We start from the raw sequence: 16,488 nt of genomic DNA, 5'->3' as shown, positions 1-16,488 counted from the left end.
TAGGGTAAGTGCTGATCTCTCTTTTCCAGAATTTCTCTTATTTTTTCCAAAATGGTTTTTTTACTTATGTTTTAAATTTCCAAAGTGACATGGCCTTCTTATAGAAAAAGAATGCATTAAAACATAATTGGAAGTGTCTGTTATTTCCTCCCAACTCTGGCTTAGACTCTGAGCATCCCTCAATACCCATTCTCCATTCTTTGTTTTGGTGGAAGGACCCTGATTATATTCTGGGTGACAATGTGTCTTGCTAAAAAAAAACCCTTCATTTCTCAGACTTTCTTAGAGCTAAGTGTGCACAACCTATGTGACTAGGTCCTAGCAATGAGACAAGTGCAAGTGTTCTGGGGGCTTCATGGGAGATGACAGCAGGGAGTGGAGGAGCTTTTGTCTTTCTTTCCTCCTTCCAGCCTGCAACTCCATGTGATGTAACGACTGGAACTTCAGCAGCCATCTTGGATCATGAGGTGACCTTGAGGATAGAAGCTGCATACCCAGATAGTGATCAAGGGGCCACTGTACCAGTCCTGGACTGCTCGCCTCTTATATGAGAAAGAAAAAAATTTATGTTTATATATATATAAAATATAATATGTAAGTTATATTATATTTATATATTATACTTAATAAAATATGTAAGTTTATTATTTATATAATATATAAACATATATATTATATAATATATAATATATAAACATATATATTATATAATATATAATATATAAACATATATATTATATAATATATAATATATAAACATATATATTATATAATATATAATATATAAACATATATATTATATAATATATAATATATAAACATATATATTATATAATATATAATATATAAACATATATATTATATAATATATAATATATAAACATATATATTATATAATATATAATATATAAACATATATAATATAATAATATATGTTATATATAATATATAAACATATATAATAAACATATATATAATATATATTATATATTATATGTTTATATATTATACATATAATATATGTTTATATATTGTACGTACAATATATGTTTATATATTGTACGTATAATATATGTTTATATATTGTACGTATAATATATGTTTATATATTGTACGTATAATATATGTTTATTGTACGTATAATATATGTTTATATATTGTACGTATAATATATGTTTATATATTGTACGTATAATATATGTTTATATATTGTACGTATAATATATGTTTATATATTGTACGTATAATATATGTTTATATATTGTACGTATAATATATGTTTATATATTGTACGTATAATATATGTTTATATATTGTACGTATAATATATGTTTATATATTGTACGTATAATATATGTTTATATATTGTACGTACAATATATGTTTATATATTGTACGTATAATATATGTTTATATATTATATATAATATATGTTTATATATTACATATGTTTATATTTTATATATATTTATATTATATATGTTTATATTATATATATTTATATTATATACTTTTATATATTATATATATTATATGTTTATATATTATATAAAATATATGTTTATATATTATATATAAAATATGTTTATATATTATATATAAAATATATGTTTATATATTATATATAAAATATGTTTATATATTATATATAAAATATGTTTATATATTATATATAAAATATATGTTTATATATTATATATTATATGTTACATATAATATATAATATATGTTTATATATTATATATTATATGTAACATATAATATATAAAATATATGTTTATATATTATATATTATATGTTACATATAATATGTTTATATGTTACATATAATATATGTTTATATGTTACATATAATATATGTTTATATGTTACATATAATATATGTTTATATGTTACATATAATATATGTTTATATGTTAGAGAGAGAGAGAGAGAGAGAGATGGAGTTTCACTCTTGTCACCCAGGCTGGAGTGCAGTGGCGGAGTCTCTGCTCACTGCAACCTCCGTCTCCTGGGTTCAAGCAATTCTCTGGCCTCAGCCTCCCGAGTAGCTGTGATTACAGGGGCCTGCCACCACACCCGGCTGATTTTTGTATTTTTGTATTTTTAGTAGAAATGGAGTTTCACCATGTTGGCCAGGCTTGTCTCAAACTCCTGACCTCAGGTGATCCACCCACCTCAGCCTCCCAAAGTGCTGGGATTACAGGCATGAGCCACCACACCCGGCCAGAAATTTGTATTTTTAAGCTGCTATTGTTTTGAATATTCTGCCACATGCAGCTCAACAAATCCTGCGTAATACACCAAACATCCTGGTCTTTAAGAGAAACTAACTGGCCCAATAGTAGCAGCACCATGACTGACTGAGCCAGATATGGTCAACTGACCCCAGTGGAATCATCTGTAGGCTACATGAAGCCAGATCCTCCCTCTCAGGAACTGGAGGCCACAGAAAGTCTAGCTAGTTGGTGCTAGACTTGAAAGTCACATAGTCACGAGGTGCGGGGGCCACCATTTTAGGGCAGCCATTTTATGAGACCATGTGCAAGCTGACAGCTGAGTGAAGAGAGCTGTCTGCTGAGAGAAAAGATTGAGGTGGACGCAGGTAGCAGAGATGAGAAACGTAACAGATCCCTAACATAACCTAACATACAGTCCTGTGATTTCCTTTTTCATTTTCTAGGTTCCCCTTTAAGTAATGCATACACCAATAATACTTTAGGATAAATTACTTTTGTCATCTTCCCAAGTGGAGGAAGTAAAGGAGGAGACAGACAGGTAATATGAGGTTCAGGGGAGAGGATGCCAAAGGGATGGGAAGTGGCTCTGGCAAGTCTGCCCTCACAGCACCTGAGCCCAGCCCAGCATGTAGAACACTCTCCCTACTTTTGGGTCTGCAGGGGCTGGCTATAAAATTCCTGGAGAGATTTGTTCCAGAGCACGGGGTTTAACACAGAAGGTCAAGAATTAGCTGGAAGTATGGTATCTTCAGAGCAGGATCTGTGGCCCATACTTGATTCTGCAAAAATTCAAGATGCTTATATTTTGCTCTAAGAGACTGTGGTTTCTTTATTCTGTTGCACCAAAAACTTGCCACATCACACTTGAGTTGTTTCTTCCTCTTTCTCATATCCTAGGCAATAAACTGTTAACTAATATGAATAAAAACTCAGCTTTCTTAGTTACCTACCTAAACGAGTAGCCCCTGAAAAAGCTTTCAGAAAGGGCATCAGAAACACCTATACCCTCAAAGAGCCTCCAAAATCAAGTGCCAATGCCACTTTATTTACTTGAACTTATCTATACTGTTAAATAAAAATTGCAGGAGGCCATTGTTTTGGACTAAGCTCCTGCACTAGGCCCCAACAGACAAGACTAAAAATAGAGTCACGCTGGCTGGGCGCGGTGGCTCACACCTGTAATCCCAGCACTTTGGGAGGCTGAGGCGGGCAGATCACCTGAGGTCAAGAGTTCCAGACCAGCCTGACCAACATGGAGAAATCTCATCTCTACAAGCTGGGCGTGGTGGTGCATGCTTGTAATCCCAGCTACTTGGGAGACTGAGGCAGGAGAATCACTTGAACCCAGGAAGCGGAGGCTGCAGTGAGCTGAGAGTGTGCCGTTGCACTCCAACCTGGGCAACAAGAACGAAACTCCGTCTCAAAAAAAAAAAAAATTAGAGTCACGCATGCCAAAATTCCATTTCACCAGACTAAAACTAAGTTATCTGACCTTCTGAGAAATAAGGTAACAGCCAATTTTCCAAACAGGCCAGTTTCAATCTTCAGTTGGCACGATAATGAAGTTTCCTCTGCCTTAATCCTTACATGCAAAAGTTAGCCCGAAGTAACACAAGGTTCACTGATCAGTGATTTTTCTACTCTTCCATCTCCCTGTCCCGCCTTACAAGGCAAGTAACTTTGAAATGATCAATCTGCTTTTTGTTCTTTGTTTTTGCTTTCTTCAGCCTTTTCTGTCTGTAAAGCCAGCCTCTTCTCCTCAGTTCATTGGACACTTATTCTGTTTTATGGAACGAAGTGTTGCCCAATTTTAGAATTGCAACAAAGCTTGTTGAGATCTTTAAACTAAATTTGTTGTAATTTTGTCTTTTACGATACTCTTTCTCATGCCACAAGGGATCTAAGGGGGGTTCTGATCTCATGTGTCATCAGTATCATCCTCCAAGCATGTATTAAACATTGGCTACATGCAGAGGGCTAGAAATAGAACAATGGCTAACATGAATGGAACACTTACTGTGGGCCAGGCATTGTGCTAAGTGATTTACCTACATTAGTCTGTAAGAGGCACTACCGTGTTTCATTGAATCAACAATACCAACAATTGTGAGTTACACCACTATGTATTAAGAAAGAAAAAGGAATCTGTCAATTAACTGGAGCATGAAATACCAGTCAGGATATGCTAGACTGTGCTGTCAAAACACAGAACCCCAATCTCAATGGCTAAAGAAGAAAGGTTTATGCTTCTGTTCAATGCCCACCAGCTGCAGCTCAGCTCTACATCCTCTTTACTGTGGGACAGGGCCCACGAAACAGCCTCCATCTGGAACTTTGCTGGCTGCTGACGTGGATGAAAAGGAGCATGAGCTGAACGACAGTTGCCTTTGAAAGTGCAGCCCGGATGTGATAGATGTTGCTTGCTTCACACTCCATTGGCCAGGACAAGTCATATGGCCACCCTGGCTCAGGAGGTGGAGTGTGGGCTTCTCTGGCAGGGCACTCCTAGAGGCACTACAGTCGATCTAGGAGTGGGAATACACCATCTCCTACCCCCATATCAACTGTAAGACATAGCCCAATTTCAGAGAGATTAAGATGCAAAAAGCTGCACATCCTAGAATTGATGAAATACACGATATCATCCCCAGTACACAGGTGAGGAATGGAGGCTTAGGTGGGTCATAAAATGTGCTTGAGATCTTAGAGCGGCAGAGCTGGGGCTTCAACCCAGGTGTCACTAACTCCACTTTAAACCACCCAACTTCCCAGGTGTGGCCTAAATGAGTCCTTGAGTCCTTACCAAAATAGTAGGATCTGTCAGGTCCTGGGGAATTACTCTCTATTTATTTGTAATTTTTTTTTTTTTTTTGGAGATGGAGACCTGCTCTGTCACCCAGGCTAGAGTGCAGTGGCATGATCTCAGCTCACTGCAACCTCTGCTCCTCAGGTTCAAGCAATTCTTCTGCCTCAGCCTCCCAAGTAGCTGGGATTACAGGCTCCCACCACCACGCCCAGCTAATCTTTTTGTACTTTTAGTAGAGATGGGGTTTCTCCATGTTGGCCAGGCTGATCTCGAACTCCTGAGCTCAGGTGATCCACCCGCCTCAGCCTCCCAAAGTGCTGGGATTACAGGCGTGAGCCACAGCACCTGGCCAGTAATTTTTTTTTAAACCTCTTTTATTCAAAGATGCATTGAGTCAGCACTGTGTTAGGTACAACACTAAAGGCTAAGACTCTAGTTCTCCTAAATAAAATGCCCCAGGTCAGCCAGGGGCCAGAAGGAAAGATCCACAGAGGTCAGTCATTAGCTGTGGAGCAAAAGGAGTGTGCTCAGAGGGTAAGATACACGTGACCTCTTCCCATACTGGGCTGGCCCTGGTCATAAATTGTCCCGTAAAGAGATGACTATTTAGTCAGAGGCCTGGTGGGTGCAGTTTGAGTGCCAAGAAGCAAGTGAGCTGGCCGTTGGAATGTGAGTGTGGGTGGGTGGGAGGGGGAAGTGGCCACTGGCTTCCACTGAGTCACAGAGGGCTGGGTGCGGAGGCAGCTGGGCTCCACCTTGGCGCAGCAGGAAGGAGAAGGGCAGGAAGAGCAGAGGCTCTTCTGGGGTGGGGTGGGGCGCGGAGGGGAGGAGGGCGGGCTCAGGGCACAGCAGATCCAGGCTGCAAGCAGGCCTTTGGCATAAACACTGCCCAGGGAAAAGCACCCAGGATCCAGGTGGCCACCCAGAAGGCCCCTTCTTGGGTGTAAATTGGGGTTGCCGTGAGAACATCCAGAACCCCTGCTTTTATCAGGTGTGAAATTCAGAAGCTGCTGGATGGAGTGTCAAATACAGGTCCCAAGAAGTAGAGATTTGGGGTCCTTTAGTTGCCACTCCTCCTCCCAGAGTAAGAGTCTCAACATATTAACAATGGGGAGCACAGTGATGTGGCTCACACCTGTAATCCCAAGCTACTTGGGAGCTGAGGTAGGCGGATGGCTTGAGGCCAGGAGTTTGAGGTTGCAGTGAGCTATGATCACACCATTGCACTTCCAGCCTGGGTGACAGAGGGAGGTGTTGATTCTAAAAAAAAAAAAAAAAAAAATGGGGAAGAATAAGAAAAGCCGAGGGTTAGCGGGAAGAAGAGGAGAGTAGAATGGGTTGGAGGGGAATGTGGACAAAATGTAAACATTAACTAAAGCCTGCTCCAGGATGGCATCCCTGGGTACCTACAGCATAGTCTGAGTGTGCAGTGCCAGTTCTGCTTTATATAATAAATGGAGAGGAAGTGTGCTGGAGGCCTGTGTGTGCGTCCGGGGACCGTCAGTGTGGGCTCCTGCTAAACCCAGAAGTCAGGCAGAAGCCAAAGCTCCCAGGAACCCCTGGAGAGCAGATTCACCCAGGGCACTCTGCCCAGCTTGCTCCCAGCCTCCACATGCACTCCCGACCGTCAGACCCACCCTCCAGGGCTGTCATGTCCCTAGAGCCTGCTTCCTTTTCCTTTCCCTTTCCTCCCTTTCCCTTCTTTTCTTTTCTTTTTTTTCTTTTTTTTTTTTTTTTTTTGAGATGGAATCTCGCTCTCTTTGCCCAGGCTGGAGTGCAGTGGCGCGATCTCAACTCTCTGCAACCTCTGCCTCCCCGGTTCAAGTGATCCTCCTGCCTCAGTCTCCTGAGTAGCTGGGATTACAGGCACCCACCACCACACCCGGCTAATTTTTGTGTTTTTAGTAGAGACAGGGTTTCACCATGTTGATCAGGCTGTTCACGAACTCCTGACTTCAAGTGATCCACCCACCTCAGCCTCCCAAAGTGCTGGGGTTACAGGCGCCCACCACACCCGGCTAATTTTTCTTTTTTTAGTAGAGACAGGGTTTCACCATGTTGGCCAGGCTGTTCACGAACTCCTGACTTCAAGTGATCCACCCACCTCAGCCTCCCAAACTGCTGGGATTACAGGCGTGAGTCACAATGCCCAGCCCCTAGAGCCTTCTTTCACGTCGTCGTCTTCGCCCTGGATGCTCTCTCTCCTCCACAACCTTCAAGGCCATCCTCCTGAATCACTTCAGCTGCCGCTGAATAAGTGCAGTGTGCTCATTGCTCAGGGCTCCTCTGCCTACACAGGTGGGGACAGGACCCACCCTAGCTAAAAGGAAAAGGGAGGGACTATATTGTCTCATGTAACTGCTCTGAGGAAAGTGCCACACTAGAGCTGGCCCTGGGGAGCCCTGGCAGGCCAGCGACTTAAACTCTATCTGTCCATCTGTCCCTGCCTGGCTTTCTTCAGCATGGTTTTCTCTTTCTTTCTCTCAAGCTGGCTGCCCACTAAGGCCAGAATATGGCCTTGGGGCACTCCTAGTTCTCCCCTTACAACCTTGTAACCAATGGAAGCCACTTTTCCTCTCCTGGCTGATGGCTTTAGAGGTAACATCTCAGCGAGGGACTCTGGCTTAGCCTGAACCACGCTTGTACCCCAGGGGCCAGGGTGGTGAAGTCTGAGTAGAATTTGGAGGGGGTGGTGCCGGGAAGACCAGGGCAGTCTGAGGCACACGTTATGATGTCATATCATTTGCTAGTTGTTGCAGGTGTTAGTTAACTTCAGGGCCTCAATTACCCTTCTGAATGCCTCAAAATAGGGGACTCTCTCCTATGCTTGTTTTGGTGCCCAGTAAGCAGGCCCTCAATAAATGTTTGCTGACTGGTTGATTAACCATTAGACAAACAGGCCTGCCCAGGACGGCTAATCCCTCAAAATAAACACTTGTGAAACTCAGAGTTGATCCCGAATCCTGGGGATCTTTCAGGCTCTTTGTAAATCTAGTATTATCCAGGGAACGGCAGACCTCTGGAGGCTGAGCTGCCTTTAAGAATAAAAACCTCTCCTCTCCCTCCCCTCCCACTCCTCCCAGGACAGAGAAGGGCGACTTTTGCAGGGAGGGCACCTTCCAAGGATCTTTGCTCATTTCCCTCCCCACCAGGGATCCCTACCTTAAAGGTTGGGATAACAATTGCCTATGATGGGGATGGAGCAACAGCACTCGCCCAGCAGAGATGATACTAAACGTGCATCTTAGAAGACAGTCAATGGGTTATCGTACGTCATTTAACCTGTCCGTTTGAGGGTGGTCATTTATGTGCCTTTCAGCTTTTTGTCATCTCTCTTGTCTCCCACTTGGACATCCCAGGGTTGCCCAGCAGCGCCTCTGTGTTTCAGAGCCAGACTCCCTCCCATCCTTCCTCTGGACTTTTTCTCCTGAGAGCCAGTCTGCAGCTTCAAAAGCGGGTGGTTATACTCACTCCTCAGTCTGTGAGCATTTATTGATTAACCTGCCAGTCAGCAAGTACTTAGTGAGCATCCGTTGTGTGCATCAGTCATTGTGTTGGGAGTGGAGAGGACCCCTGAGAAGTGTAAAACAGGATCCGCTCTCAAGGAGCTGCAACTACGCAGGGAGATGCCTGAAGAGAGATGATCCTGGGCTGGAAGGTCTTGAAGCTTCTCTGGGGCATTAATATAATGTGGTTATAGACTAAGCAATTGGGTTTGGGTCAGCGCCTGATGGATGGGTAGGATCTGGCTATCTATTAGAAGGTGGGGCAGCGGGGAGATGGGTAGACATTCCAAGAACAGGGAAAGTCAAGGAGGTTTGAAAATACAAGGTGTGTTCTAGACTTGACCTGCTTGGCCAGAGCAGAGGAGTTTTATGAAGAAATGACAGAGGTTTACCTCAATATTGGTTAGAACTAATAATTATGTAATGTATCCCATAGGCAGCAGAGAACAAATGAACAATTTGAGCAGGTAAAAAACTAAAATTGAATAGTTTTTATGATAGTGTTCACATCCCAGTTGCTCAGTGTTGCCTCTGTGATGAACACTGTTTACTTTACACTCAGCAACAATTCCTGACTCCTTTCTAACAGAACTCCAATGTTGTTCAAGATCTACTCCCCCACTATTCTGCCATGTGCCCTAAGAAAAGCCGGCCCCACCCTGCGGTGGCTCATGCCTGTAATCTCAGCGCTTTGGGAGGCCGAGGAGGCCGATCGCCTGAGGTCAGGAGTTCGAGCCCAGCTTGGCCAATGTGGTGAAACCCCGTCTCTATTAAAAATACAAAAATTAGCCAGGTGTAGTCGCACATGCCTGTAATCCCAGCTACCAGGGAGGTTGAGGCAGGAGAATCGCTGGAACCTAGGAGGCAGAGGCTGCAGTGAGCCAAGATCACGCCACTGCACTCCAGCCTGGATGACAGAGTGAGGCTCTGTCTCAAAAAAAAAAAAAAAAAGAAAGAAAAGCCGGTCCCACCCCATGCTCCAGAGTGGGTCTGATTGGTCTATCTTGCCAATGGCTGGTGCTAGAATGAGTATGACTCACTTCTAGCCCATGAGAGCTGATGGGAAGTCCACTAGGGGACTCCTGAAAAAAATGTCCTTGTTCCTAAGAGGAACTCAAGAAAGAGATGGTCTTTTCTTTCCCCGCCCCCTTTGACATGAACCAGGCAAGATGATTTTTATTTTTACTCTGGACATTGTCATATCTGGAGGTGGCCGTTTTGCCACTAGACTGAAGATACAGTCACCAATTAAGGTAGCCAAGCAGAGAGATGAAAAGAACATGATTATCTGATTATATTGTTGAGCCACTGAATCAACCACCCTGAAACCTACCCATTCTATTATGTGATATAATACATTTCTGTATCATTTAAGCTAGTTGGAGTCAGGGTTTTCTGTTACTCGCAGCCCAAATCATCCTCATTGCTTTTCTCCTGTCTCTTGAAATCCTTTTTCCCCATTAAGTCCATTCTCTAGTGAACTCATTGGAAGCTCTAGTTCCATGGCCTTTCCTGTTTCTCCAGTTCTATTGACTATTTGCTCTCCTTACTGTCTTTCATGTCATTATAGAATCCTATAGCATAGTAGTTCACCTTCACACTTCTCTTGCCAGCTCCCTCCAAAGCCTCAGTCCTCCCATCCCCCCAGCACATTCTCCCATGAAATCCCCAGCCATGGACCAATCCAACTCTGCCTTTGCTGCTCCCACCCTGAGCTAGGATAATAAACTGTTGTCCAGGTTTGTCTGGGACTGAGGGACTTCCTGGGATTCCAGCCTTTCACTGCTAAAATGGGGATTGTGCTGGGTAAACTGGGATTATGGGGGACCCTATCTTTTGCTGGTGAGGCTGCTGGGAAAAGCACCCAACAAGGTGATCAGTGGCCATTATCAATGTGTGGCTCCAATCTCCACTGCAGCGCACCCCTATTTGGCAGTCCTGTTGCCCAGTCCTGGTCACCCTGGCAACATTAGCCCCCTTCACCTCAGTGGTGGTTTTAAATCTTCACCAGGGGCTGGCTGGAATGTAGTGATGTTTACAACTAATTGATCACAAGCAGTTACCGATTCCTTTGTTCCTGCTCCACTCTCACTGCTTCACTTGACTAGCCTTTAAAAATGTCTTCACCAGGGCTCTCAAACTGCCTACCCAGCTCCCACCCAACTCCTGTCACAGCTGACTAACAATTTCATGGAGAAAATAGAATCTATTGGCCATCAACTCCTTCACCTTCCTGCATTCTCAGAACACATCTTCTCTCCTGTTTCTTAGAAGGAAGGCTTTCTCCATTCCAAAGCAATCACCAGAAATCCAGACCCCTATCCCTTCCTCTGCATCCATCTCTAGCTATCACCCTTTTCCTATCCCTTCACCAACAAGCTACCTGCAATGTAAGTCTCATTTGCAGTCTGTTCCTAACTCTCCCTTCAACTCTGCCCCTATTTCTGCTCTTGCTGGGTTCTCCAAGGACCCATTAATGGACTGAGGCCATGGGCTGTCTTCTCACTGTGGTCCTGCTGATCAACCCATCTCCTTGGAGCCTGCTCTCTTCCCTTGATATCGCTTCCCTAATTCCCTTCCCATCTCTGCCTGCTCCTGCTCAGTTTTCTCTTAGGGCTTCTCTCCTCTGCACTGTAAATATTGGCATTTCCTCCCTCTCTCTTTCTCAACTGCACACATATCTTGGAAGTTTTTAATTGATAACTATGGTTTCAACTATAAGCAAATCTTCCCCCCCTCCAAGTTACTTTTGTTGTACTGTATTATCAAATCTTGACAACTCCTGAATTTGTAGCTCTAGCCAAGACTGTTCTTCTATGCTTTGACCTGTATTTGCTGTAAAGACATCAGTGTGATTGTTAAGATTCACAGTTTTGGAGTCAGACATATCTAGGTTTGAGTCCTGGCTCTGCCACTTATTAGCTTTGTGCATTTGGTCAGGTGTCTTAAGTTTTCTGTGCTTCAGTTTCCTCACTTATAAACTGGAGATCATCATGTGCTTGCCTTATGGAGCTGCTGAGAAGATTACATGAGATTATGTACTGTGCGTAGGCAGTGCCTGGCTCATAGTAACAATGCAGGTATGTTTATAGCATTCAGTTGCCTATTACTCATCTTTTTTTTTAAAGCTTGTATTTCCTAAACAGGCTTATACTAAACAACTTATATCATTTAAGTCTAAAAAACAAAAAATTTTTAAAAGCCATGAAGGAGGTATCATATTCTCTCTTTACAGGTGAAGAAACTGAAGCTGACAAAGCATCTGTGTAAGGTCTCACATCCTGGTGGTGGCCAAGCCTGGCTTTGGACAGACTGATGCCAAAGTCCTTCTCAGCCACAACGATGACCCCATCTCAAACCGTATTCAAACCAAAATTCATGTTCCATACCTGTTTGTCTGCTTAAAATCTCATTTTGCTGGAAGGATGTTAGCAAAAACCAACCCTGCAGGGTAGAGAAGGGTGTAGACAGGAAGGTGGTGCTAGACTCTGCTTTCTCTATAGCCCTACCCCATTCAACCCATCACCAAGGCCAGTTGAGGTCCTTCCCAAATATTCCCCTCCCTGCAGACATCCTCTTCCCTCCATCCGCTTGCCCTCTGTTAGTCCCTCCAGATGTTTCTGTTGGGTTATTGCCACAGCCTCCTAACTGGTCTTTCTGCTGGAGACAGCACCTAGTAGGACATCAAGAAATAATCAAGTACCCCTGCTGACCCTAGCCTTGCTCCTAATCCTCCCTTTGTTCTGCTGCTAACATGTAACTACATGTTCATTTCATTCTCCTAAAGGCCTTCAAGCAGGGGTGTCCAATTTTTGGCTTCCCTGGGCCACATTGGAAGAAAAGTTATCTTGGGCCACACATAAAATACACTAACACGAACGATAGTTGATGAGAAAAAAAATGCGAAAAAAAAAAACTCATAATGTTTTATGTTGGGCAGTATTCAAAGCATCCTGGGCCACAGGCGGCCCGTGGGTGGTAGGTTGGACAAGCTGGCTTTAAAGGCTCCTCATTTCCCATAGGACAAAACATTAAGGGGAGTTAAGCAAAAGAGAAGTCCAGTGTGAAAGGTTTTGGGGCCCCTTGAAGGAAACGGAATTCCCAAGGTTAGATCCTCTGCATCTGTGGCCTAAGGTTTAGGCAGGACTCATCCTCCAACAGCAGATGTTGGATTTAAGAACCCAGTAGACATGTCTGGGTCTAGTTTCTTTCAGCTGCTTCCCAGCCCTCAGCCGCTTGTCTCCACTTCCCCAGTAGGGGTCAGTAGCGAGCAAAAGGTGTTGCCATAGGATGGGGCTAGTGACCTCGCTTCTGAACTGGGTATCCTCCAGTTCCCTGGGCAGATGTCCGAAGAAAACACTCTGGCCACACAATTGGTCTTTCATTAGCATCTTTTCTGGCAGTCTCAGGGAAAATTTAGGACTGAAATGACTGGAAAAGGAATTCTTTTTCCTCTTTTTGGCGCCTCCTGCTCCTCCTTCTGGGGCCAGGAGACTCCTGGGCTGGGTGGAGAGGGATTGGAACCACAGTTCTGCGGGGAGGGCCCACTGTTGCCGGGGCTGTCCACCGCCGCCTCAGGCCCTCCGGAGAATTGTCATGGTAGTCACTCCTTTGGCCTCTACCCTGGAGAGCCCCACCCCCAGGGTGACTCACCCTTTTCCGGCCCAGGCTGAGCAACTCAGTGGGAGGCCCAGTGGGGAACCCCATTGGACTCTGTCGGGTGTGCCCCTTACGTGGCACGTGCCCTGGAAATTCCTGGGTGGTGCATGGCTCACCCAGTGTGTAGCCCGAGCTGGACTGACAGGCTTCTCTTAGCCTTGTTTGAATGTTTCCCGGTCCACACACCAGGCTTAGAGTCACAGACACATGGAACCCTGGAGCAGGAAGAGAGGGCACAAAGAGCTCATTGCTTCTGCAGCCACGTGCTTCCTGGAAAACAGCACAAGGGGAAAGGGGTTGTCTCAGTCAGTTCATCACAGCAGCGGGGTTGCTCTGGAACCTTAAACTGTTACGGGGCTAGGGGGCGGTAAGAATGCAAAACAAGGCCGGGCGCGGGAAATCTCAGCACTTTGGGAGGCCGAGGTGGGCAGATGACCTGAGGTCAGGAGTTCCAGACCAGCCTGGCCAACATGGTGAAACCCCACCTGTACTAAAAATACAAAAGTTAGCCGGGCATGGTGGCGGTCACCTGTAGTCCCAGTTACTCGGGAGGCTGAGGCAGGGAGAATTGCTTGAACCTGGGAGGCGGGGGTTGCAGTGAGCCGAGATCATGCCACTGCATTCCAGCCTGGGTGACAGAGTGAGACTCCATCAAAAAAAAAAAAAAAAAAAAAAAAAAAAAAAAAAAAAAGAATACCAAACAAACAGAGGAAAATCCTAAAGATATTCTCTCATTTGCTGTTTACCTCAGGACAGTGGCTGACCTGGTGGGGCCTGACCCAGTCAGACCTGTGGGTTTATACCTACTTGGTACAAATCCTTGGGCTAGTTTAAGATTTACAAACATGTTTCTTATTCCCTTGAATTCTAGAGCTTTAAAGCTAGAGAAACGTCAGAGAGCACCCAAGTCCCTCACTCAAATGAAGAGACCTAGAGGGCTGGGTGATTTGACCTAGGCACACTGTTCCTATTGTTGGTTAATCATGAGTCACACCTGGAACCCAAATCCCCAACACCTTACACCGATTGTCAAATGGGCATCCTCTCCTAACCTTAGGCCAGTTAGAGGTCTGGTGGAGAGGCAGTGTGGCTTATGACCAAAGGAGCTGGTACTGGGGAAACATTAATCAAATGAATAGTGTATCCCTTGGGTTAAGAACCTTATGTAGAAAAAATTTATTGTTTCAGTGGGAAACTACATATCACTTATAGCACACCACTCAGGGTTATGATATTCTAGCCCCATTCACTGCAGTCTCTACCTCTCAGGCTCAGTGATGCTCCCACCTCAGCCTCCTGAGTAGCTAGGACTACAGGTGCACACCACCATGCCCAGCTAATTTTTGTATTTTTTGTAGAGATAGGGTCTCTACAAAAAAAAAATTTTTGTAGAGATAGGGTCTCCCTGTGTTGCCCTGGCTGGTTTTTGAACTCCTGCGCTCAAGTGATCCTCCTGCAGGAGCCTCCCAAAGTGCTGGGATTACAGGCATGAGCCACCACACCCAGCCCATTGTCTTTTATTATTTTTTTGTTTTGTTTTTACTTAAAAGACAGGGTCTTGCTATGTTGCCCAGGCTGGTCTTGAACTCCTGGCCTCAAGTGATCTTCCCAGCTTGGCCTCCCAAAGCGCTGGGATTATACGTGTGAGCCACGTGCCGGGCCCCTTGTTCATTGTCTTTAGGCTATTTTGCGCATCCATAAATTGTAGGTAATCTGTAGATACATAAATTCTGTTCTGTCTGGTAGAGATTTGACTTTTTCTCACTCCCACTCACTTGGCAGGAAAAAAACCCACTTTGTCTTCATTTGCAATTCATCTCAACATTTCTTTACTCCATATAAATTTGTGTTGTTTTTTTCCTTTGAACCAATTATAACACCTATCTGGTTTCTTCATATTATTTGAGCAACATAAATTCCTTAACGTGTTCTTTTAAAAATATATTTATGGAAGTCATAATTTTACCTTTTAACAATGTCACACCTGTCTACTAAGCCCAGCCATCCCTCTGTGTGGTGCGGTGAATAGTTGCTAGATGGATTTGTTTCCATATCCACATGAGCTGCTCTTGGCTGAGTTTTTCTGAGGAGACAGTGTGTGTAAAGATGGCAGATAGGGTTGGTACAGGGTGACCTGGGTCCCCCAGCCCCATGCCATGGACTGGTGTTCCCCTTGACACAGTATCCAAAAACAATGTCAGAGAATAAGTCCTATCCCCTCTGAGAGCAGGAAGCTGGCTTAGAAGCAGATAAATGGCCAGCCCTTAGAAGCCAGGCTTACCTGGGCATAGTATAGCCTAGCTATATGTCTCTTTGGGTCATCTTTCCCAGGTTTGAATTTTCTTCTCTGTCTTTTTTTCCTTACGGTAATTAGTCCATTGAAGATAACAAAAGTATTTGCCTACTGCACTAAAAAGAAAGGGGGAAAAGGGAGAAGGAAGTAGGAAGAAATGAGGGGCAAACAGGGAAACAGGGAAGCAATGAGGGAGAGAAAACAAAGGGTAAGGTAAAGAGAATTGTCTTAGTCCATTTGTATTGCTGTAAAGGAATACCTGAGGCTGGATCATTTATAAAGAAAAGAGGTTTATTTGGCTCACGGTTCTGCAGGTTGTACAAGAAGCATGGTGCTGGCATTTGCTTGGCTTCTGCTGATGGCCTCAGGCTGCTACCACTCATGGCCAAAGGCAAAGAGGAGCTGGCATGTGCAGATCTCATGGCAAGAAAGAAAATAAGAGAGAGGGGGAGATGCTAGGCCCTCTTTAACAACCAGCTCTCATGGGAACTAATAGAGCAAGAACTCACTCATTACTGTGAGGATGACACCAAGCCATTCATAAGGAATCCACCCCTATGACCCAAACACCTCCCATTAGGCCTCCCCTCCAACATAGAGGATCACATTTCAACATGAGGTCTGGGGGGAAAACATCCAAACTATAACAAGAATACACTGGAGTAGTCTTCGCACCATTATTTCCTGAGCTATAGAAAATGATCTAAGGACACAGCATTAAGCAGAGATTGATGAGGCCATGCCCTTGGCACTTCTGATTATGTGACAGAGAAAGCCTCAGTTTGGTGCTGCTCTGTCTTCAACACCTCTCTTAACTTTTCCTTTCTCCCCTCTTAACCAAGGATGAGGAGGCCTCAGGCTCAGAGCCTGTGGTCAGCAACAGTATCCAGTTAGAATTTAATGCCACTGCTCTGTTTTCATTGTGTTTAGTTTACTGTTTTATAATTTCCTCCTATTTATAGCAAGAGATATTGGTTTTCTATT

General features: G+C 44.0%; 7 annotated features.

The window, feature by feature from the left end:
- Positions 4,551-4,600: an enhancer, noted in NCBI's record as "active region_15909". NCBI's record gives its function as "activates an Ori minimal core promoter by ATAC-STARR-seq in GM12878 lymphoblastoid cells {active_cell/tissue: GM12878}" and the evidence as "EXISTENCE:reporter gene assay evidence [ECO:0000049][PMID:35858748]".
- Positions 5,177-6,376: an enhancer, noted in NCBI's record as "P300/CBP strongly-dependent group 1 enhancer chr2:65065480-65066679 (GRCh37/hg19 assembly coordinates)". NCBI's record gives its function as "activates an origin of replication core promoter dependent on BRD2, BRD4, P300/CBP, MED14 and CDK7 cofactors, with strong dependence on P300/CBP, by STARR-seq in HCT116 cells {active_cell/tissue: HCT116}" and the evidence as "EXISTENCE:reporter gene assay evidence [ECO:0000049][PMID:35650434]".
- Positions 12,624-13,823: an enhancer, noted in NCBI's record as "P300/CBP strongly-dependent group 1 enhancer chr2:65058033-65059232 (GRCh37/hg19 assembly coordinates)". NCBI's record gives its function as "activates an origin of replication core promoter dependent on BRD2, BRD4, P300/CBP, MED14 and CDK7 cofactors, with strong dependence on P300/CBP, by STARR-seq in HCT116 cells {active_cell/tissue: HCT116}" and the evidence as "EXISTENCE:reporter gene assay evidence [ECO:0000049][PMID:35650434]".
- Positions 12,693-13,309: an enhancer, noted in NCBI's record as "H3K27ac-H3K4me1 hESC enhancer chr2:65058547-65059163 (GRCh37/hg19 assembly coordinates)". NCBI's record gives its function as "activates a minimal SCP1, AML or CMV promoter by ChIP-STARR-seq in primed H9 embryonic stem cells {active_cell/tissue: H9 hESC(primed)}" and the evidence as "EXISTENCE:reporter gene assay evidence [ECO:0000049][PMID:30033119]".
- Positions 12,712-12,761: an enhancer, noted in NCBI's record as "active region_15908". NCBI's record gives its function as "activates an Ori minimal core promoter by ATAC-STARR-seq in GM12878 lymphoblastoid cells {active_cell/tissue: GM12878}" and the evidence as "EXISTENCE:reporter gene assay evidence [ECO:0000049][PMID:35858748]".
- Positions 12,932-13,041: an enhancer, noted in NCBI's record as "active region_15907". NCBI's record gives its function as "activates an Ori minimal core promoter by ATAC-STARR-seq in GM12878 lymphoblastoid cells {active_cell/tissue: GM12878}" and the evidence as "EXISTENCE:reporter gene assay evidence [ECO:0000049][PMID:35858748]".
- Positions 13,052-13,301: an enhancer, noted in NCBI's record as "active region_15906". NCBI's record gives its function as "activates an Ori minimal core promoter by ATAC-STARR-seq in GM12878 lymphoblastoid cells {active_cell/tissue: GM12878}" and the evidence as "EXISTENCE:reporter gene assay evidence [ECO:0000049][PMID:35858748]".

This window comes from Homo sapiens, chromosome 2 (assembly GCF_000001405.40).
Source record: "Homo sapiens chromosome 2, GRCh38.p14 Primary Assembly".
NCBI classification, from domain to species: domain Eukaryota; kingdom Metazoa; phylum Chordata; class Mammalia; order Primates; family Hominidae; genus Homo; species Homo sapiens.
Note: the sequence above shows the minus strand (reverse complement) of the source record. Positions and strands in the feature narration are given on the sequence as shown.